We start from the raw sequence: 24,754 nt of genomic DNA, 5'->3' as shown, positions 1-24,754 counted from the left end.
CAATTTCCATAATTTTCCCAGTGCCATACTTGCTGTGCAAGGCCTTCTCGACTTTCAGTAGAGCTGAGAAGGATGCGGCGGTTTGCCAGTGCTTCTTCATAAGGCACAGACTCCAAGAGGGGCTATGATAAAAGCATCATAAGAATTAAAGAAAAAATATTGTATCACCCCTCCCCTGCATCCAACATACACAAAGAATGCTAAACGAGGTGTGACAATAAATTCAGATGTATGTCAAAGCAGACTATTTTCTTTAATACACGTGAAAACGAAGATAATTTTTTAAAAGAAAAATAATAGCCTGGGCGCGGTGGCTCACACCTATAATCCCAGCACTTTGGGAGGTCGAGGCGAGCGGATCACAAGGTCAGGAATTCAAGACCAGCCTGGCCAATATGGTGAAACCCCATCTCTACTAAAAATACAAAAATTAGCCGGGTATGGTGGCACGCGCCTGTAGTCCCAGCTACTAGGGAAGCTGAGGCACGAGAATCACTTGAACCTGGGAGGCGGAGGTTGCAGTGAGCAGAGATTGTGCCATTGCACTCTAGCCTGGACAACAGAGCGAGACTCCGTCTCAAAAAGAAAAAAAAAAGAAAAACAATAAAGAACTTAAAGCAATTATAAATGGTCACTGACTTACCTTGGTTCGACTGATGACTTTACGATGGTGCAAAAGCAATGCATTCAGTAGAAATCATATTTTTGAGTACTTATACATACAACCATTCTGTTTTTCACTTTCAGTACAGTATTCAGTAAGTTACATGAGATATTCAACACTATTATAAAATTGGCCGGGAGTGGTGGCTCACCCCTGTAATCTTAGCACTTTGGGACACCGAGGTGATGGATTGCTTGAGGTCAGGAGTTCGAGACCAGCCGGGCCAAAATGGTGCTACTAAAAATACAAAAATTAGCCAGGCGTGGTGGCACACACCTGTAATCCAAGCTACTCAGGAGGCTGAGGCAGGAGGCTCCTTTGAACCCCGAAGGCAGAGGTTGCAGTGAGCAGAGATTGCATCACTGCACTCCAGCCTGGGCGACAGAGTGAGTAAGACTCCATCTCAAAAATAAATAAATAAGGCCAGGCACGGTGGCTCATGCCAGTAATCCCAGCACTTTGGAAGGCCGAGGCGGGTGGACTTCCTAAGGTCAGGAGTTCGAGACCAGCCTGACCAACATGGTGAAACCCCGTTTCTACTAAAAATACAAAAACAATTAGCCGGGGGAGGTGGCAGGATCCTGTGGGAGGCTGAGGCAGGAGAATCGCTTGAACCCAGGAGGCGGAGGTTGTGGTGAGCCGAGATCGCGCCATTGCACTCCAGCCTGGGCGACAGAGCAAGACTCTGATTCAAAAATAAATAAATAAATAAATAAATAAATAAAATAAAATAGGCTTTATGTTAGATGACTTGCCCAAGTGTAGGCTAATGTAAGTGTTTTGAGCACATTTAAGGCAGGCTAGGCTAAGCTATGATGGTTGGTAGGTTAGGCACATTAAATGCATTTTTGACATGACTTTTTTTTTTTTTTTTTTTTTTTTTTTTTTTTTTTTTTTGAGACAAGGTCTCACTTTGTCGCCCTGGGCTGGAGTGCAGTAGCGTGATCACGACTCACTGCAGCCTTGACCTCCCAGACTCCAGGGCTCCTCCTGCCTCAGCCCAGCCTCCCAAGCATGCACCTGGGACTACAGGCATGCACCACCATGCCAGGCTATTTTTTTTTTTTTTTTTTTTTTTGGAGAGACGAGGTCTCCCTATGTTGCCCAGGCTGATCTCGAACTCCTGGACTCAAGTGATCCTCCCACCCTGGCATCCCAAAGTGTCGGGATTACAGGCATGAGCCACTGCACCCGGCTGCAACATTTTCAACATACAATGGGCTTATCAGGACGTAATCCCATCATAAGTCAAGGAGCATCAGTATAAGCTACACTAACTAAAACCATAAGGACTTGCACCAAAATAGATGAAGAACAGAATAAAATATCCAGAAACGAACAAAAGCATACATAAAAATTTATTATGTGGCAAATATTGCATTTCTAACTGAATGGAGAAAAGATGGACTAAATAAACGGTACAAGGACAACCAGCTAATTATTGAAAAAAAATAATTATTTAGATCCTTCTTTGACATCTTATATCAGAATAAATTCTGGATGAATTAAAGATCCAAATCTAAAAATTTATTTATTTATGTATTTTTTTCCAGCTACTACAGGCTGCCTGTCCAAATGTAAAAATTGAGACTGTAAAAATGCTGGAAGAAAATACACGTGAATGTTTCTACCTTGGAAATCAACCCTGGCTAAGAATGATCACCATGAAGAAAAAGACCTATTTGATGATACAAAAATAAAAACTTCTATTTTGAAAAACTATTACAGCAAACTAGGGAAAAATATTTCCCACATAAACACAAAATTAACATTCTTAATACAGAGACAGCTCTTTCAACCCTAATTAGAAACATTTATTTAAAAATAGGTAAGGCCGGGCGCAGTGGCTCACGCCTGTAATCCCAGCACTTTGGTAGGCCGAGGCAGGTGGATCAGGAGGTCAGGAGATCAAGACCATCCTGGCTAACATGGTGAAACCCCGTCTCTACTAAAAGTACAAAAAATTAGCTGGGTGTGGTGGCGGGCACCTGTAGTCCCAGCTACTTGGGAAGCTGAGGCAGGAGAATGGTGTGAACCCGGGAGGCGGAGCCGAGATCATGCCACTGCACTCCAGCCTGGGCGATAGTGCAAGACTCCGTCTCAAAAAAAAAAAAAAAAAAAAAAAGGTAAATGACCTAAAGAGAGAATTTATACAATAAACACAAGTGATAACTATGAAAGGATGTTCCACCTCATTAACAAGCAAATATATACATATGAACCAAAACAACAGCAAGAAACCTCTCCTGAGATTGATAAATATTAAATGCATGGGTTAAATTCATATTTCTACTACAGGCAAACTATAAATAGGTAACCTTCCTGAAGTATAGTCTGGAAAAACATGCCAAAATTTGAAACACTCACAGACTTTGAACCAGCAATTCACATAGGGAGATAGGTAGCTTTTATACCGTGGGAAGTATCCTTCAGAGTGCCCATTTTGAAGGACAACTAGCAACTACTATTAAAACTTAAAATGCACAAGCCACATGGCCTACAACATTCTACTTCTCATATTCCACCCATGTGCCTAAGGAAACATTTACAAGGCTATCCATTGCAGTATTATTGTAACAGTAAAAAAGTAGAATTAACCTAAATGCCTACCAATTAAGGGAAACCTAAACAAACTATGGAACATCCATATTATAGAATTCTATGCCGTATCTAAAAGGAACCTAGTGAGTTCCACGTGAAATGACATAGACAGTCTCTAAGTCATTATTTTAAACAAAAAAAAGCAAATTGCAAAATGAAACATGCATTTGGGAAGAAAAAAGGACAAGAAAAGAGAAAAGGAGAAAAGAACAAAAGAAAAGTGAAGGAAGGAAGGAAGAAAAATTCTTTGTTTATAGATTGCATGCTTATAAATGCTCAAAGAGCCTGAAAGGTTACACATCAAACTGATAATTATGGTTACCTCTAGAGAGGAACTGGAATTAGGGATTATAATTTACCTGTAATGATCTAATTTAATATAAGAATGTGTTTATGCACTGCATAGTTAAAACGTTTAAAGATGAGAAAAAAGTAAAATGCACAAATTGCAGGTGCAAGAATATCCACTGTAGCACTCCACTGTAACAGTGAAAAACAGGCAACAACTTAAATATCTACCAGCAATGAATTAAATTATAAATTTACAGAAGGAAACACCATAAATAAATGATGACAGCTGGCAGCTCTGGGTGCACTGTCTATAAGTAGTCCTGCTCCCCAAGGAGCAGCTAAAAAATAAAAACATAGTAATTTATATTTTATATTTTATTATTCCTATTTCTTTCATTCTTTTTTAATGATGTCCCTTGAGTCATGTATTTTATAGATACAATTTTTGAGATATATATAAATATATCCTCAATGCATTAAGAGAAAAAAATATTCTAAAACAGTACATGCACCTAAATACATTCTGCTTTTTATAGTATGTGTGTGCATGTGCACTCAAACATATAATAACATTTTTTGGATATAAATATATTGTTTTCTAAAAAAGTCAATTATAGCTACATTTGGGTGGTAGGATTACAGGTGACCACAATTTTCTTCTTAATATACTGCAGTATCTTCTCTCTTTTTTTTTTCTTTTTTTTTGCAACAACTGCATATTCTTATTCAGAAAAAAGTCATACACATATTTCTTTTTTTTCTGTTTCTACAAGTTTAAGAGTCTCTGAAGTTCAATATTTACTGTTTGGCTGGCTACCTCACCCCAGGCGCTCTATCAGGCACTTGGGACATGAGTCCAACATGGCCTACGAATATAGGCAACGCTGCTTCTCAGGTAAAGTCTGGGTCCTGTCACCTCCTCTTCCCCACAGCCCTCCCCCAACACCCACCAACAACCTGTACCCCAATATCGTATAAAAAGTCAACAATATAAACTGCAGAAAAACTCTTGCCATTCTCTAGAATGACTCCTGATGTTTCCTCTGATTTAAATATTAACAGCAGCTAACAAACCTTTCTCAAAGACTTCATATAGGCAGCAGCTTTTTTCTTATACTGTAGCATGCATTCAGCTGAAAGAGGACTAATGAATCCACTCGCTGCCTTAGGTCCATAGCTCAGTGAAGCAATGAAGTAGTCCAAATTGTTGCTGAAGAAGGATGCAATCTAAACAAAGTATGACAAGGAAATAGATTTTGTTTTCCAACAATATATCTAAAATATATATCTAATAGTTTTTGCAGCAAAGTTTAAAGATGTTGAGAATGGAAATGGAAATGAAATTTCAACACCTGCCCCAAAGTCCACATTTATTTATTTGAGAATACCTAGGCAATGGTTTATAATAAAAAGAGGACACCAGTATAAATAGTCAGAACAAATTTCTGACATGTCCTTTTCTAGACAATTTCTATTCTTCCTGAAAACCAAGACTGATACTCATTTATTCTGTAGGTGACTTTCATGAGCTCTTTACCTCATTGATTTCTGCCACTGTTCTCAAAATATCCATGTTCGGATTTCTAGATTCCATATTTTAACTTTGAATATTTCATATTCTAACAGAAGATATAACATAGTATCTTGAATATGTAACTTCCATTTAAATTTAATTCTATAAATCTCAATTTAAAAATTACAAATATAGAAAAAAAAGACTGAAAATTCAGTGGACTGTTATTTACAGATTTAACATTTGTTAACTCTATGTAAGCAGCCACAAAGATCTATCACTTTCAAAGCCATGATTTTGAATCTGTGGCATTTGGTAATATTTGTGATAATGCTACCTCTGTGGTTTTGTATCTCAACAAGTACTTTAAAGTGACTTCAACATGTGTCTTTTCATTGAACCTGTAATAGTAGGTCATGATCATCTGGATCATTAAATACTTAATTTCACTGCAAACTGACCAAAGTGCAGTTTCTTTTTTTCTTTTCTTTCTTTTTTTTTTTTTTTTTTTTTGAGTCGGCGTCTCACTCTGTTGCCCAGGCTGGAGTGGAGTGGCACAATCTCAGCTCACTGCCACCTCTGCCTCCTGGGTTTAACCAATTCTCCTGCCTCAGCCGCCTGAGTAGCTGGGATTACAGGTGCCCGTCACCACATCCGGGTAATTTTTGTATTTTTGTTCGTTTGTTTGAAACAGAGTCTTGCTCTGTCACCCAGGCTGGAGGGCGGTGGCACGATCTCGGCTCACTGCAACCTCCACCTCCTGGGTTCAAGCCATTCTCCTGGCTCAGCTGTCCCAGTAGCTGGGATTACAGTTGTGCACCACCACGTCCCAGCTAATTTTTGTACTTTTAGTAGAGACGGGGTTTCACCATGTTGGCCAGGCTGGTCTCAAACTCCTGACCTCGTGATCCTCCCGCCTCAGCCTCCCAAAGTGCTGGAATTACAGGCGTGAGCCACCACACCCAGCCTAATTTTTGTATGTTTAGTAGAGACAGGGTTTCAACATGTTGGCCAGGCTGGTCTCAAACTCGTGACCTCAGGTGAGCTACCGTGCCCAGCCCAAAGTGCAGTTTCTTTAAGAATCCTTTGATAAGCCAGGTGCAGTGGCTCACGCCTGTAATCCCAACACTTTGAGAGGCTGAGGCAGGGGTACTGCTTGAGCCCAGAGTTCAAGACCAGCCTGGGCGATATGGCAAGACCTCATCTTTTCAAAATTGAAAAATTAGCCAGGCATGGTGGTGTGCGTCTGTGTTCCCAGCTACTTGGGAGACCGAGGTAGGAGGACTCACTGCAGCCTCAACCTCCTGGGCTCAAGTAATCCTCTTACCTGAGCCTCCCAAGTAGTTGAGACCACAGACGCACACCATCATGTGTGGCTGATTTTTTAATTTTGTAGAGATGAGGTCTTGCCATGTTGCCCAGGCTGGTCTTGAACTCCTGGGCTCAAGCAATAAATACTCCCACCTCAGCCTCTTCAGTGCTATATGAAATGCTGATATAAATAAAAATGTCTGGCTAAATGCTTTAGCCAGAAAAGTTACAGTCTTGTATACATTAAAGAATATTGTATTTTGATAAATTTTAAAAAGTAATCTGTAAAACAGAGTATTCTACTTTGGCAAAAATTGGTCAAAAGTTAATCACTAATGGTCTGAAAGGTTATATTTTTCACTGATATTTTACTATATCAAATGAAATTCTACGTTAGGTAGTATTCAGTAAAGTAAGGATACCAAAAATCTTGAGCTATATATAGTCCTTGTGAATGACATGGATTCACACAGTGTTTGCATTTGGATCATGGTAGTACATTGTGAGGTTTCTTTTCTTTTTTCTAATATTTCTACATTTTCCAAACTTTCTTTAATATGAATATACTACACTTTCCTACTGGGTTCTTAATGGAAATTACAAACTGTAAAATTAGGTTAATCAAATCATATCAGCTAAGTATTTAATATTAAGCTGATACCAACTAACATTAGTTCAAATATTTTGGTTGAAAACCATTTATTAAAATTCCAGAGTGAAGATCAGATATCTTTCCTTGAGATGACATTTTACGGTTTCAGGCAAAGTAAAGCTAAAATAAACTATGACGTATGCAAGTATTTAATTATTTCAGAGTTCTCAGGAGATTGAGACCATCCTGACTAACATGGTGAAATCCCGTCTCTACTAAAAATACAAAAACAAAATTAGCCAGGCATGGTGGCAGGCACCTTTAGTCCCAGCTACTCGGGAGGCTGAGGCGGCAGAATGGTGTGAACCTGGGAGGTGGAGCTTGCAGTGAGCTGAGATCATGCCACTACACTCCAACCTGGGCAACAGAGCAAGACTCCGTCTCAAAAAAAAAAAAAAAAGTTGGCAAATACAGAGACTCATAAAATACCAACATTCTCTCTTTTCAGAATTTTTCTTAACTGAATCAGTTAGGATTATCCTCCAAAAGCATCTGGCATGCCGTGGATGAAGGAGGTGAAAGGGGAGGCAGTGGGGATGGTCCTCTGGCTCAGGAATCCTTTGCACATAGATCTGTAAGCTGACAGAACCTAAAGATAACACGTTTTAATCATGACCCCAAGCTATAGCAAGTGGTCACAAAGCCAGTCCAACTTTGGAAATATGACACTGAAATGTCTAACATGATCTATGATCATTTCTGACTACTGCAAATCACTTGAAGAATATTTGTTCCTATTATGGTTAACCTGTCAGAAGCAGAATAGTATATAAAGACAGACACAGAGATAAGCATTTCCTTTGGAAGTCATGCTGAGTCTGCTGCAATAAATGGGCTAAGATAGTTCTGAATACAGTCCTTTTGGTTTTATACATGTAGGATGTTCTCAGAAAAATCTTAATCATTAAAGTTGTTGATGACAGCCACATGAACGCACACTCTGAGAATATAACTTCTGCTGAAACAGGAATATCCATGATCAAAACATTCTTTTTTTTTTTTTTTTTTGAGATAGGGTCTTGCTCTGTCACCCAGGATAGGGTGCAGTGGCTCACACACGGCTCACTGCAGCCTCAACCTCCTGGGCTCAAGCAATCCTCCTACCTCAGCCACCCAAGTAGCTGGGACCACAGACGCACATCACCATGCCTGGCTAATTTTTTAATTTTGTAGGGATGAGGTCTTGACATGTTGCTGAGGCTGGTCTTGAACTCCTGGGCTCAAGCAATACTCTCGCCTCAGCCTCTCGAAGTGCTGGGATTACAGGTGTGAGCCACAGCACCTGGCTTATCAAAGGATTCTTAAAGAAACTGCACTTTAGTTAGTTTATAGTGAAAATTAAGTATTTAATGATCCAGACGATCATGACCTACTATTAAAGGTTCAACGAAAAGACACATGTTGAAGTCACTTCAAAGTACTTGTTTAGATACAAAACCACAGAGGTAGTATTATCACAAGTATTACCAAAAAAGAAACATACAAAAACACTAGAAGGAAAAAACCCAAAGTATTAATGGAACGTATATTGTGGTGGGTTTGTTTTCTTTTTTTGTATGTTCCCAGTGTTCTATATGGCAGACCCTTCATATACACAACGATCTATATTGAGACTACCTAGAATCTTCTAATCATCCAATATTGCATTAAAACATAAACAGGGAGTGATCTACACATCCAAGACAAATGCTAAACAGTCACTGTCACATTGCTTTAAACATTAGGTAGGAAAGCAGCATGCAGTGCATGTGCCCATAGTCCCCGCCACCCAGGAGACTCCCCTGAGTCCAGGAGTTTGAGTCAAGCCTGGCAACATAGCGAGAGATCCCTCTCTTAAAATAATAAGTCAGAGTACATACTGGGTAGGAAGCAGAGGAAAGAGAGACAACTTTATTTTACAGTAAACCCTTATATTACAAAATCCTTTTACAGATCCATTTTCCTATGTCCCTCAGAAAAAAAGCACATATTTAAGAGTTTTAACATCAATATACGCCAGAAGAGAATTACCTTTCCTGCTCCATTTGTTAATGCCACTACTGATGACAGGATACAGTCATTAGTTGTTATCAGCTTCTGTGTTGCTGTTGGAAGTTCATGCTCTATTGCAGCTTTTTGACTATAATGTTTGGAAATATCTATAAAAGCAATTACATGAAAATTCATTATTATCTATATATAAGTCACATACAGATAACCAGCCCATTCACTTCTCCTATCTATTCTTCTAAATTTATAAAGTAAATTTGACAAAGAATGGTCTCAAGTGTCAGGATTGCACTGAGTATCAATTAGGTCACAAATCTACATGGAAAGAACAGAGAGAAGTAAGGATCTCTGAACACCATCTTGGCTATCTTTACTACAGCCACCAAGATTTCCTCGTCGGAGTATTAATTCTAACATTGGGTAAATGATCCTGTATTTACCAGTTAAAAACCACTATTTACCAGTTAAAAACCACTGTTTTGATAGTGTAACAGGCATTGAGGAGAAATTATCTTGTATTTATATAAACAACCCACCAGGCTGGAAAGGAATAGCCAACACAACCACACTGTCTCACAGTCCTTACTGGGCTATAGCTAGTTTCCTAGTGCACACCCTAACTAGCAATGAGAAGTATCTGCACAGCCAAATACGGATTGGACGCCCCAGTGCCTGACTTCCTATGCAACTGTCTCCAGTCCAAGAATAGTACAATAAAGGCCTGTGGTTAGGAAAGCATAGAAGAGGTATACATATATACACATATGTATTAATTATATTATATATAATTGTATATATTAATATAATATATAAAACTATATATAATACAATTATATATAGTATATACAATTGTATATATTAGTTAGTATATACAATTGTATATATTAGTTAGTATATACAATTGTATATATTAGTTAATATATACAACTATATATATGTCAATCACAAAACATGAAAATTTTTATAGCAATTCTGTACAAACAATTTCATTAATTTAGAATCAAGAAATTTTGTTGATTGTTTTAGACTATAGATAATTAATGGAGGAAATAAGACTATTTGAAAAGAAATAGTATTTGAGATTTAACCTGAAGTGATCATGATGTTTTAACTCAAAATTACTATGGTCCATGAATGAGATTATTTTCACTAACATTTTAAAACTAGGGAATTTAAAAATTATTAATATATTCCTATATTTATATACACTTGTAATAAATACGTCTTTGATTTAGGATAGTTTTAGACTTATAGAAAAGGTATGGAGTTTCATTACACCCTTTAGCCAATTTTTCCTACTGTTAACATATTACTATGGTACAGTTGTCACAGAAAAGGAACCAACCAATTGGCAAATTACTATTACATTCAATATATTTTTGAAAAGAAATGATTATGCTCAACATAGTCATAAGATGTCCAAGTGTATAAAAATTCAATTAGGATGCTGAATGCTTTTTGTTTTTTTTTTTACATTTTATTTTAGAGGCAGGGAGTTTATGTGCAGGTTTGTTATGCGGGCATATTGTGTAATACTGGGGTTTGGGCTTCCATTGAGCCCATCACCCAAATGGTGAACATAGTAGTGGGATTGTTAATACCCAGTAGTGGGTATTGCTGGGTCGAATGGTAATTCTATTTTCAGAACTCTAAAAATGAGAGAAATCTCCATACTGCTTTCCATAGGGGTTGAACTAATTTACATTCCCACCAACAGTCTGTAAGTACTGAATGCTTTTTGTATACTGAATTGCTCATCCCTAACAGACATTTTCTTTCTACACATCACAGACAGTTTTATTCAATATTTCACTGGAAGTATATACAATGTTATAATAATACAATTTGGTTGGTAAGCAATCTTGGTTGATGGTAATTGAGGTACTCATGAAAAAAGTACAATACTAAGAACAATGCTATTGTAGCTTGATTATAGTCATTCTCACAATCAAAATGTTTACTCTTGGCAGGATGCAGTGGCTCATGCCTGTAATCTAGCACTTTGGGAGACCGACGTGGGCAGATCACTGGAGGCCAGGAGTTCAAGACCAGCCTGGCCAACATGGCAAAACCCCGTGTCTACTAAAAATACAAAAATTGCTGGGTGTAGTGGCATGTGCCTGTAATCCCAGCTACTCAGGTGCTAGAGGCATAAGAATTGCTTAAACCCAAGAGTGGGAGGTTGCAGTGAGCCAAGATCATGCCACTGCAGTCCAGCCTGGGCAACAGAGCAAGAATCAGTCCAGAAAAAAAAAAAAAAAAAAAGTTTATTCTTTATTTAGTCCAAAGATTTTAATTATTTAGAGTGTTTCTTGACATTAAATTTTAACTCCAAAATGTACAAAAGAATCATGTGACTTAGACCATAGATTTATTTTTCCTTTTATGTTTCCCACGAGTCTACCAACTTCAGACCTCTGAGACTAAAGATCAAACAATTCTCACTTAGAATATGCTCCTTGAAAGGGCTGTATTTGCAACACGACCCCCAAATGCTGAAGGAGCCAAGAAATCAAAGAAGGAAGCAGGCAAATCCAGTTTATTGGTATAGGATGATTTATTAGGAGGAACTTACAGACACAAGCATGGTCTTGGGTGGCTGCAAAACAGATCTCTGCATGGCAAACCCCCAAACGCAGGGCTTATATCTTGGGGAAAAAGTATGCGTGTTCTGAAAGGAATGTGTGGGTGGCTACAGGAGTCACAGCCTATGATTTTTGTTATGGCGTCAAAGTTTGTTTTGAAGGAATCTTACAGTGAATAGGTATTCCTATATAAAGAGTAATACATTAGGCTGGGCACGGTAGTTCATGCATGTAATCCCAGCACTTTGGGAGACCGAAGCAGAAGGATCACTTGAGTCCAGGAGTTTGAGACCAGCCTGGGAAATATAGAAGGACCCCACCTCTATAAAAAAGAAATTTAAAAAATTAAAAATAAGAAAGAGTAATACACTAAATTGACATTTTGGAGGCATTCCCAGACTCAGGGTTAGTCAGAAGTTACATGGTGGATTAGCATTTAAAATAAAGACACTCTTGGCCAGGCGCGGTACCTCACGCTTGTAATCCCAGCACTTGGGTTGGAACAATGTGTACTCTGTTCTGTTTCTCATTGTGCATTACAAGGAACAGGGTAGAGAAGGGTAAAATACTATGTGCACTACTTTGCTAAATGAGCTTATAAAGCAGTACAAGTCAGTTAACGTGATGCCTCTAGCTTTATGCTTTGTGCTGTTTGCTTTGGCTATTCAGGCCCCTTTTATGGTTTCCTGTGAATTTTAGGATTTTGACATTGGGCCAGGTGCAGTGGCTCACGCCTATAATCCCAAAACTTTGAGAGGCCGAGGCAGGCGGATCACTTGAGGTCAGGAGTTCGAGACCAGCCTGGCCAACATGGCGAAACCCTGTCTCTATTTAAAATACAAAAAAATTAGCCGGCATGGTGACGCACACCTGTAGTCCCAGCTACTCAGGAGGCTGAGGCAGGAGAATCGCTTGAACCTGGGAGGGAAAGGTTGCACTGCACTCCAGCCTGGGTGACAGAGTGAGACTTGTCTCAAAAAAAAAAAAAAAAAAAAAAAAGGAAAAAAAAGTATCTTTATTTTATAGAAAATGTAGTACGTATACGTCATAGAACACTATGCAGCCATAAAAAGGAACGAGATCATGTCCTTTGCAGGTACATGGATGGAGCCAGAAGCCATTATCTTCAGCAAACTAACGCAGAAACAGAAAATCAAATACTGCATGTTCTCACTTGTCAATGGAAGCTGAATGATGAGAACACATGGACACATGCCAAGGAACAAGACACACTGGAGCCTGATGGAGGGTGGGGGATGGGAGGAGGGATAGCATCAGGAAGAATGGCAAATGGATGCTGGGCTTACTATCTAGTTGATGGGATGATCTGTGCAGCTAATCACTACGGCACACATTTAACTATGTAACAAACCTGCACATCCTGCACATTTACCCCTGAACTTAAAAGTTGAGGGGAAAAAAAAGTCATCTGATGATGTGTATACACACTAAACTTTGGGAAACGTTGGTCTATATATTTTCATAATTACAACTACAGACTATAGTCACTTTAGAATAAAGTAGACATCCTAAAAAAAAAAAAAAAAAACAGTGTCTTTATTTTAAATGCTAATCTGCCATGTAACTTCTGGCTGACCCTGAATCTGGGAATACCTCCAAAATGTCTAGATGATATATTACTCTTTATATAAAAACATGTATTCACAATAAGTTTCCTTCAAAACAACCCTTGATACTGTTATAAAAAATCATAGGCTGTGATGCTATACCCACTTACACATTCCTTCCAGAGCACATGTACTTTTCCCTCAAGATATAAGCTCTGGGTCTGGGAGGTTGCAGTACTAAGACCTTCCCGTCTTATGACTGCCCCAAGACCATTCTTCTGTCTATAAGATACCCCAATAAATCACCCTATACCAACAAAGTGGATTTGTCTGCCTCCTTCTTTGGTTTCTCAGCTCCTTTAACATTTGGAGGTGACTTTACATATACTCCTCTTTTACAAAACAAAATGCCACTTGTTAAATAATTGAGTCACTCCTGTTTTAATTCCATGTAGGATACATATTTTTATAAATCCCTCTGTTTACACTGAGACCAACCTATCAACCAATAGATTAAGAATCCCTTATCCAAAAAGCTTAGGACCAGCAGTGTTTTGGACTTCAGATTTCTTCAGATTTTGGAATATTCGCATATACATAAGAAGGTATCTTGGGGACAGGATCCAAGTCTAAATAAGAAATTCATTTATGTTTCATATATACCTTATACATATAGCCTGAAGGTAATTTTGTACGATACTTTTAATAATTTTGTGCATGAAACTAAGTTTTGACTGCAACTTTATCATGTCACGTGAGGGCAAGTGCGGAATTTTCCACTTATGGTGTCATGATGGCACTTGAAAAGCTTAAGATTTTGAAGCATTTTGGATTTCAGATTACCGTATTAAGAATGCTCAACCTGTATTAGCATAAGAAAATTTATTTTTTTTTTATTTTATTGTTTCATTTTGTAGAGACAGGGTCTCCCTATGTTGCCCAGGCTAGTCTCAAATTCTTGGGCTCAAGTGATCTTCCCACTCAGCTTCCCAAAATGCTGGGATTATAAGCGTCAGCTATTGCACCCAGCCAGCAGAGGAAAAATTTTAAAACAAAACTAAAAAACTTGTAGCCACAGAGGTACTTGTGGTTTCAAACTGGTTCTACGTTAAGTAAAGTTCTGGAAGAGAGGACTACGACTAAGTCTTAGCTCCTCAAACCAAAAGCCTCACAGGAAAAAAGCACCATCTCTTGGATTTTTCTATAGACCAAACTAAATTCTGCAGGACTGGAGTTGAATATTGTTAACTGCCACCCATACTGCCTATCCAAGTTGTGATTTCTGAAACCAAGGCTAATTCTGTAAGTACAGTGACTTTCAAAGTTCCTTATAATTGGGGCCAGGCCCAGTGGCTCACGCCTGTAGTCCCAGCACTTTGGGAGGCCACGGCAGGTGGGTCACCTGATGTCAGGAGTTCAAGACCAGCCTGGCCAACATGGCGAAACCCCATCTCTACTAAAAATACAAAAATTAGCCAGGCATGGTGGTGTGTACCTGTAATCCCAGCTACTTGGGAGGCTGAGGCAGAAGAATCACTTGAACCCAGGAGGCAAAGGCTGCAGTGAGCGGAGATCACACCACTGCACTCCAGCCTGGGCAATAAAGCGAAACTGAACCTCAGAAAAAATTATAAAGTTCCTTATAATTGAATACAAGCCACAGAAAGGCCCATACCGTAGACTGAATGGTAAACTGGTGCTTGGTAACACTGCTGAGACTAAGAATGAATCCCAGTGCCACAGATTAGGTCCCCCAATATATGCCTCTTATCCATGTTATGAAACACAGCTTTAGGTTTTTAAAAATTATTCTCTGTGCAATTAGTAATTGGTCACTAATTGTTAACTAAAAACAATGAATCATCCAGGCACCTGGACTATTTCCAATAGTCCTTAATAGATTGCTCCTGCCCGTCTCCTCCTTCCCCTGCTTTCCCTACCCCAACAGTCTCTAAAAGGAAAAGAAAGGGAAAAAAAACCTAGAAGCAATTGCAAAGTTGTAGATTAGTCAGGACTCAGAATCACACGCTAAGAAGCATATGAAATAAAAGGTTCCCCTCGGCCTTTCAGCAGACTACATTTTTAGGAGCACAGAAGCAATTGAAAACTGACCAAAATGCAAAACCAGACTTTCATTTCTTAAGGCTATGCCCAACAAGACAGGACTTTAAAAGGCATTTAAAATATTAAAATGCACAGGATGGTGGAAAGTTAGTGTATTCCTTCTGGGGACTTGAAGCCTTGGTTTCCTCAATTCCTTTGTGCTTGGGCTCTAAGAAGCGCAACGTATTTTGCAAAAGGCCTCTGAATAGCATGTCTGGTTTTGTACAATTCACACACCTGCCTAAAGTCAGTGTAACGTATTTCTGGCTAAAGTACTGTACACAAGGACTGTACACAAGGATTTCTCTTCAGCACTTTGTTTACCTCCAGAAATAAAACAGATGGGAAAAGCAGAAGGCAGTGAGCTGTGCACTCAACATAAGCCAAATGCTAATAAGCCTTTATCTGGGGTCTATTACCCTTGGCAGTGTTTGTTTAAATCTTATTCAGGCAGATCGAAGAAAGTGGGGCAAAGGTTTTAAGCTTACGTTCTTTTTCAAGGCCTACCTTTCATAACGTCATGAAATCCATGCAGAGCAGCACCAACATTTGTTAACACAGAACTGTAGTTTGTCCGAAGGAGTCCATCTGGCTCTGTACCTAGGAAATCAAAATCACAAATCTAAGCATTTTCCTGAAAAATGGACTGCCCATTGTATCCCTCTACTTTTGGGAAGATAGAGAATGAAGATTGGTTGTAATGTGCTAGAAATAATGCCTCTTAAAATCGTGGCAGATACATTCAGACATAATGGTGATACACATAAGCACATCTAAATGATTTGCATCTCCTATGTCCACAAATATTTTTTAATGGTTGAGAAACAAAATTCAGTTGTTAAGCAGGATTAAGTCTGTCATGATTCTTTGTAAAACGAAAGTCTTTGTGAATGTTTACCTTGTTATTATATAATGCATTTTTCATTCCCTACACATTATTTGCTGAACATCGCTAAAACACTCTTACCCAAATATCACAGAGTTCTGCTTCTGCCATGTCAGCGTGAGGAGCTCTGTGGACCTGCTTGCCCTCTGCAAAACTGGTAAAATTTGCAAAAAGGACAATCACTTAAAGTCTCTGGAGACGGTTCTAAGGGCAACACAGCACATGATTTACTCAAGAAAATCTGTAACAACTCAGTAATAACAGTGAGAGGCTACGGTATTTAAACCAAGAATCACTACCTCCCTCCCACAGCTCAGGGAGACAGAAATTCCATTCCCAATAGGTATAGCCAAGAACACGGGACTTCGTCTCTCCCAACTCCTAAAGAGGTCTGGATTTCTCCTCTTGCTCCCAGCTACCTGTTGCTGAAGCTAAATTCTGAGCAAGTGTGGACAGAGGCGGGGAACGTTCCCCTTCTTTCACCCAGCCCCTACTCCTAAGATGGAGGCTCTACCTTGGGCGTGGTGCTGCCAAGAAAAGTGGGGCCCTGATCACCCTTGCCCCAGCTCATCAACAGGAGTTCCACCCTGAAAGAGGCAGACCAAGGAGACCGGGGGCTGCTGCCTACCCCCTCCACTAAGGGCGCAGTTTCTAACAAGGGGGTGTCACTTAGAGAAAAGTATGACCACTGTCCCTAGCCCATAGAGATTTAGCCCAGGAGATAAGCAAGCCTTAAAACAAGAGCTCTTAATCTCTTCTTAAGGAACTGACTTAATTTGTAATACAGTGTGGAGAAGTTCAAGCCTAAGGGTGTACTCTAAAAAATTATGGCTGTGGTAAAAGCAATGAAGAAGAAATTGGTAGATTAGCGATATAAGTTAAACTGTGGGCTGCCTGGTTTACCAGAGAGAACAGGAAACAGAAATAGCTAAGAAGAGCCCTCCTGGGGTCAGAATGAAGCGCAAACACTGATCTCAAAAAACTCTACCTGCTAGGTGTACACTAGGTCTATAACTATACCCGTAAAAGAGCCCAAACTGAATTGATTCTCTGAATAGACAATTGATGCCCCACGACATTTTGAAAATGAGAGCAATCAATCAGCAATCAGCAGAGCTTAAACCTGGGTGTGATCAGTGAAAGAGACAGTGAAGGAGAGCCCTGCCACCATCGTCATCTCAGGGTGACTGTATGCATGCCCAAGGCTGAATCCTTGAGAAGCAACATCATGGCACAAAACTTACATGCTAAAAACTAGAAGATGTGTTTAAAGAAATTAAAGAGCTACATAAATGGAAAAACATACTATGTTCATGAATCAGATGACTAAGCTTAGATGGCAATACTCCCTGTATTAATTTCCTAGTGCTGCTGTAATGAAGTACCACAAACAAGGTGGCTTAACACAACAGAAATTTATTTTCTCACAGTTCTAGAGGCCAGAAGTCCAAAATCAAGGTGTTGGCAGGGTCACACTCTCCCCAAAGGCCCTAAGGGAGAATTCTTTCTTGCCTCTTCCAGCTTCTGTTGGCCCTAGGTGTTACTTGCCTGTGGCAGCATAACTCCAATCCCTGCATCTGTCTTCATATGGCCTTCCCCCTTGTATCTCTGTCTCCAGATTCTGTGTGTCTCTGTCTCGAAATCTCTCTCTCCTTATAAGGATCCCATTCATTGGATTTAGGACTCTCTTTAATCCAGTATGACCTCATCTTAATTTGATGACATCTGCAGAGATCCCATCTCCACAGGAGATCACACATACAGGTACTGACAGTTAGAATTTCACATATTATTTTGGGGGACACAATTCAACTCACAACCCTCTCCAAAATGATCTACAAGTTCAATGCAATCCCTATCAGAATCCCAACTGACTTCTTTGTAGACATCAACACAAGCTGATTCTAAAATTCATACGGGATTGCAAGGGACCTCAAATAACCAAAACAATCTTGAAAAAAAAAAAAAAAGTAGGAGGGCTCACGCTTCCTAATCTCGAAATTTGCTATAAAGCAACAATCATCAAGATATTATGGTACTGGTGTGGACAGATCAATGAAATAGACCTGAGAATCCAGAAATAAATCCATATATCTACAGTCAACTGATTCTCCACAAGGGTACCCAGACCATTCAATAAGGAAAGAATAGGCTTTTCAGCAAATGGTGCAGGGACAACTGCATAGGCACAGGCACCATATACAAAAATTAAAATGAGGTTGGGTGTGGTGGCTTATGCCTGTAATCCCAGCATTTTGGGAGGCCGAGATGGGCAGATCACCTGAGGCTAGGAGTTCGAGACCAGCCTGGCCAACATGGTGAGACCCCCATCTCTACTAAAAAATGCAAAAATTAGCCAAGTGCAGTGGCGCACACCCGTAGTCCCAGCTACTCGGGAGGCTGAAGCAGGAGATCACTTAAATCCGGGAGGCAGTTTGCAGCGAGCTGAGAGTGTGACACTGCACTCCAGACTGGGTGATAGAGTGAGACTCTGTCTAAAAAAAAAAAAAAAAAAAAAAAATTAATTCAAAATTAATCATAAACCTAAGTGTAAGTAAGAGTTAAAACTATAAAACGCTTAGAAGAAAACACAGGGTAAGTCTTCATAACCTCAGATTTGACAGCAGATTCTTAGATATGACATCAAAAGCATCAGCAACAACAACAACAAAAATGGGAAACTGGACTTCATCAAAATTGAACATTTTTGTTCCTCAAAGGACACTATCAAGAAAGTTAAAAGACAACCTATAAAATGGAAGAAAATATTGCAAATCATATATCCAATAAGTGACTTGTATGTATAATACATAAAGAACTCTTATAACTCAATAATAAACAGACAACCTAACTGAAAAATGGAGAAAAGATCTCAATAAATATTTCTCCAAGAAGATATACAAATGGCCAATAAGTACATTAAAAGATAGTCAACATCACTCGCAATCAGGAAAATGCAAGTAAAAACTACAATGAGATACCAGTTAATACCCACCAGAATAGCTAAAAATCAAAAAACCAAGTAATAACACTGAAGAGGATGTGGAGAAATTAGAACCCTCATACACTGCTAGTAGGAATGTAAAATGGTACAGCACTTTGTAAAACACTCCAGCAGCTCCTCAAACAGTTAAGCAGAGTTGCCACATGACCCAGGAATTCCATTCCTAGGTATACACCCCAAAGAAATGAAAAGAGATGTCCACAAAGAAACTTGTACATGAATGTCAATAGCATCATTATTTGTAATAGCCAAAAGGTAGAAACAACCCAAATGTCCACTACATGACAAACGGGTAAGTAAAATGTGATACATCCATAAAATATAATAGCATTCTGCAATAAAAATTGAGTACTGATACATGCTACAACTTTTATGAATCTTAAAAAGCATGATGCTAAGTGAAAGAAGTCAGAAAAGACCACATACCATATTATTCCATTTAAATGAAATGGGTAGAATTGGCAAATATATAGCCAGAATGTAAATTACTAGGGTTTACGGGCTAGGGAGGGGTGGAACAGGGGAATGGGAGGGCAATAGCTAAAATACACAGGGTTTCTTCTATGGGTGATAAAAGTGTTCCAAAATTTACTGTAGTGACAATGCACATTCCTGTGAATATACTAAAAACCACTGAATTGTAAACTTTAATTAATACATTGTATGGTATATAAATTATACAATAATGCTGTTAAAAAAAACCATAGTACCAGAAAAATTATGGCATTCTTAAAAATGTCATTTAAAATGAGGTCCATTCAGTTACCCAAAAATACTTTTTTTTTTTTGAGACAGTTTCGCTATTGCTGCCCAGGCTGGAGCGCAATGGCACGATCTCAGCTCACTGCATCCTCTGCCTCCCAGGCTCACGCGATTCTCCTGCCTCAGCCTCCCGAGTAGCTGGGATTACAGGCACGCACCACCACACCCAGCTGATTTTGTATTTTTAGTAGAGATGAGGTTTCTCCATGTCGGTCAGGCTGGTCTCGAACTTCCAACCTCAGGTGATCTGCCCACCTCAGCCTCCCAAAGTGCTGGGATTACAGGCATGAGCCACCGCGCCCGGCCCTGAAAATACTTTTTTTGAAGTTAGGCCAAAGGGGAACAAATGGCATTTTTACTACTAAAGCTCCCCTACGCTACTTGTTGGAAAGCTGCTACAAATTCTTATGATGTGTTCCTTTCCATACAAAAAACAGGAAGGAAGGGAAAGGAATTAATATTTAATGCATGCTCAATGCCTGATATTTTACATAATTTATTTTTATTACTTATTTATTTCAGAAGCAGTGTTGCTTTGTCACCCAGGCTGGAGTGCAGTGGTGTGATCATAGCTCACTGCAGCCTTAACCTCCTTGGCTCAAGTGATCCTCCCACCTCAGCCTCCAGAGTAGCTGGGACTACAGGGAAGTGCTGCCACATCTGGATAATTTTTAAATTTTTTGTAGAGATGGGGTCTCCCTGTGCTGCCCAGGATGGTCTTGAACTCCTGACCTCAAGCCATCCTCCCACCTCAGCCTCCCAACGTGCTGGGATGACAGGTGTGAGTCACCCAGCCTGGCCGTACGTTCTTAATTTAACTCAATAATCACAACATTTAACTCCATTATATAAATAGAAAACCAGAAGTCCAGAGAGGTCAAGAGCTTTGCCCAAGGTCATAAATGTATAAGGGGCTAGAGAATTTGAATTCAAGTTTTCCTGATGCCAGATCCTATGCTCCTCTCACTCTACTTAGCTAAACCATCTCCCTTTTCCAGCTTCTTGTACTCTTAAGTCCTTGAAGTTGACCCCTAAGCAACAAACATACTTACTTGGCAAGGCAAGAAGAGCTATGTAAGTCTGCAGCTTCTCAAACACAGCTGTCATTTTTTTCATGTCCTGGGACAGCTCTAGATTCCTGGCTCTTAACGCAGATGTGCAAAGAGAGGATTCACATTCTTCTTCTAAACTAGGAATAGGCAGATTTTTAAGAAGTGAGCATCCCAAACGATTTTCAATTAGCTACTAGCAGCCAACCAAGTTCTCAAACAACTATATCCAAAGAGAGATATTGCAGAAAAAAGAATTTGATCTCATTTGCATGGCTCCATTTTTTTACATCATGATACATACACTGCTTGCTGCAAATACCAATGGAATATAAGATGACTAAATGGAATAACAGATAAAGGCATATGTCCATTATCTTTCCATCCTGAGAGCAACACAAAACATTAGAATATTTCTAATGTTCTTTTTCTTTTTTGTTTGAGACGGAGTCTCTCACTGTCTCCAGATTCGAGTACAGTGGCGCAATCTCGGCTCACTGTAACCTCCGCATCCCAGGTTCAAGCCATTCTCGTGCCTCAGCCTCCTGAGTTGCTGGGATTACAGGCACCCACCACCACGCCCGGCTAATTTTTGTACTTTCAGTAGAGACAAGGTTTCACTGTGTTGGTCAGGCTGGTCTCGAACTCCTGACCTCGGGTGATCCGCCTGCCTCAGCTTCCCAAAGTGCTGGGATTACAGGCATGAACCACCACGCCCGGCCATATTTTTAAATATTCTAAATGTTAAAAATCATTAAAATATTTACAGGAAAAAATTTTCACAGACTAAATTCCTAAAGAAAATGAATTAAACAGGAACTGGTATTATTAACACTGACACCAGCAAGAGAATCTAGAAAATCTTTTCCAGTACACATAGTTTTTCCAAAGCCAAACAGATTTACAATCTAGAGGCTCAAATTTAAAAGTAAACGCTTAACATTCATAAAATGCATTTTACCATTTTTAATTTTAAATAGTTACTTGGGAAAACTTAATTACAAGGTTTTTAAAAAATGTAGTGTCTTAACTATTCATTTTAAAATGTGGAGGTAATCAAGCAAAAAAAAAAGGTTTTTAGACAAAGCCAGAAAAGGTAGCATAGGAATCATAATCATTTCCATTCTCTCTCCATTGCAACTTCTCTTCTACTTTATTTATAGCAGACAGCTTCATTCCATTCTAAGCCCATTTACTACTAAACAACAGGTCATCTTGTCAATTAAAGTGGTATTTAAACCAATGCCCCCAAAATTGCTGAAAAATATTAATAACTCGTGAAGCAGGGCTGAAAGCATATGGGACAGAACATTCCAAAAGTAGAAATCTTAGCTTAAGAAAGAATTCATCCAGTGTTTTACAAAACATAATCATGGAAAAAATGAAGCAAGATAAAATTCATAACTCTTTCAAGTAGTAAATACTTGTGCAATGGTTCTTAAACAGATTCTTCTTAAACATAAGCCAAATCAAAGTTACATTCAACTTTAATGTTAAACCTCTAGAGTCGATTTTCAAAAAATCTTTATACAGAACTATAACATATAATGATCTAAAATAAAACTATTAGTTCATAATAATTAGTTTAAGCCATAATTATCTGATTCCCAGTATTTCCTAATATCCTATCATATGCACAAATCACAGAATTTTGTTACTGAAATATCTTGTAAGGATAGAATTAGGAAAGAAGATGTCTCTTAATATATATTAATTTTTTTAATAATAAAATTGTATATTTCTTAAATGCCAAACTTACTACTTTAGTTTTACAAGGACTTATAATTACTTATATATTCTTTTCTTTTTTTTTTTTTTTAAGAGACAGGGACTCTATCACCCAGGCTGATATAATTACTTATACATTCTTTTCTTTTTTTTTTTTTTAAGAGGCAGGGACTCTATCACCCAGGCTGCAGTAACAGCTCACTGCAGCCTCAAACTCCTGGGCTCAAGTGATTCTTCCATCTCAGCCTCCTAAGTAGCTAGGACTACAGGCACAGGCCACCACCTCCAGCTAGTTTTCTTTTTATTTTCAGTAGAGACAGGTCTCCCTATGCTGCCCAGGCTGTTCTCGAATTCCTGGCCTCAAGTGATCTTCCCGCCTCGACCTCACAAGGTATTGGGATTACAGGCATGTGCCACCATGCCTGGCCTATTTTCAGTATCTGTAAGTAATTAACCTTTTTTTTTTTTTGAGACGGAGTCTCACTCTGTTGCCCAGGCTGGAGTGCAGTGATGTGACCTTGGCTCACTGCAACCTCCGCCTCCCAGGTTCAAGTGATTCTCCTGCCTCAGCCTCCCAAGTAGCTGGGACTACAGGCATGCACCACCACGCCCGGCTAATTTTTGTATTTTTAGTAGAAACAGGGTTTTGCCATGTTGGCAAGGCTGATCTGAAACTCCTGACCTCAGGTGATCCACCCTCTTTGGCCTCCCAAAGTGCTGGGACTACAGGCATGAGCCACCACACTTGGCCAACCTACTTATTTTCTAAATTTTATTTTACTGTAAAATATTATTTCTCTCATGTTCCAGTTGTATTGTTCTTTGATTTTTTTTTTTTTTTTTTTTTTTTTTTTTGAGATGGAGTCTCGCTCTGTTGCCTAGGCTGGAGTGCAATGGCGCGATCTTGGCTCACTGCAACCTCCGCCTCCCAGGTTCGAGCGATTCTCCTGCCTCAGCCTCCCAAGTAGCTGGGACTATAGGGATGCACCACAACGCCCGGCTAATTTTTGTATTTTTAGAAGAGGCGGGGTTTCACCAAGTTGGCCAGGCTGGTCTCGAACTCCTGACTTCAAGTGATCCACCCACCTCAGCCTCCCAAAGTGCTGGGATTACAGGCGTGAGCCACTGCGCCCGGCCTTGATTTTTTTAAAAAAGGGCTAAATCTTAGAATGGAAAGATTTAAATGAAATAGGTGTCTTGGTAGTTGTAAACCAAAAGTATCAAAACTTACAAGCAATATTATCAAATTTCTAATAATACGTATTATTTTTTCTGCCCTTCTAGAAATATTTAAAGTAGAATATCAAAGGTTACTAAATGACGTATTCTGTAAGGGCTAGAGTAGATAAGGTTTTTAGTTTATAACAAGTCACTAATAACAAAAATAAGAAAATACACCATTTCAAAGAAACCTAAAATTTATAGATCCTAACGTAGAAGGAAACTATTATGAACACCCATCTAGGTGTTAACTGCAAAGGGATGATAATGGTAACCACAGTACAGAACAACTGAAAATCTGTAACTGACAGACTATAATTCAACTTTCTTAAATTTAAGTTAATGCTGCTCAACCATGCTTTTCCTTTTTCACGGAAGTCCAAATTAACTGTGAAGCAGAAAAGTCAGGCAGATCACAAGAGGCACATGTTAATATTTTATTAACGCCAGCCAGATCAGGTTACACCCACAATTCCCCAAGTTCCCTGGCCTCCGGGGGTAACTACCTTTTTAACTGATAGGGAAGAATCTTCCTAAGAAAACATATGTAGGAGGTTAAGTGTTCTGAAAAAGTTTTCAATTTCACAGTTGTCTCCTGGAAAAGAAAAATAATTTCAAGGTTAAAAGTGCTACTGGACAAAGAGGAGCTCCCAGTTTCCAGAAGTAAAACAAGGAAGAAAATTACCAAGACAGTCACAGTATCCTCAGTGATACTTTCAAATAAATGAAGCATTCCTTCCTCAAGAGGGCGGACATAGGACGCATTTTCATGAAGGTATTGTGAGAACTAAACAGGAGGGAAAGTATTGTGAATTAAATCACTGGAA

The 24,754-nt window shown here is 39.1% G+C and overlaps 1 protein-coding gene across 6 annotated transcripts in view; it reads right to left on the bottom strand.

Annotated features, from left to right (window-relative positions):
• Positions 1 to 24,754, bottom strand: part of PPP1R21 (protein phosphatase 1 regulatory subunit 21) — a 74,621-nt gene that overhangs the window by 19,586 nt on the left and 30,281 nt on the right. For 4 of the 6 annotated variants that reach the window (NR_024188.3, XR_007069367.1, NM_001135629.3 and 1 more), the window contains exons 10-16: positions 24,613 to 24,714; positions 24,434 to 24,522; positions 20,982 to 21,118; positions 15,785 to 15,877; positions 9,043 to 9,170; positions 4,631 to 4,783; positions 30 to 122 (exon numbers count right to left, since the gene is read on the bottom strand). Coding sequence is in view for 4 of the 6 variants with exons in the window: in NM_001135629.3 (NP_001129101.1) it covers positions 30 to 122; positions 4,631 to 4,783; positions 9,043 to 9,170; positions 15,785 to 15,877; positions 20,982 to 21,118; positions 24,434 to 24,522; positions 24,613 to 24,714 (795 nt within the window). In the remaining 2 variants the exon portion in view is untranslated. Of the gene's footprint in view, positions 1 to 29; positions 123 to 4,630; positions 4,784 to 9,042; positions 9,171 to 15,784; positions 15,878 to 16,244; positions 16,318 to 20,981; positions 21,119 to 24,433; positions 24,523 to 24,612; positions 24,715 to 24,754 lie in introns of those variants that run through there. The other 2 variants (NM_001193475.2, XM_047443254.1) reach the window with 2 other exon arrangements.

The sequence above is a fragment of the Homo sapiens genome, chromosome 2, assembly GCF_000001405.40.
Source record: "Homo sapiens chromosome 2, GRCh38.p14 Primary Assembly".
Lineage (NCBI taxonomy): Eukaryota > Metazoa > Chordata > Mammalia > Primates > Hominidae > Homo > Homo sapiens.
The sequence above is the reverse complement of the archived record's forward strand: the minus strand, read 5'-3'. Positions and strand labels throughout refer to the sequence as shown.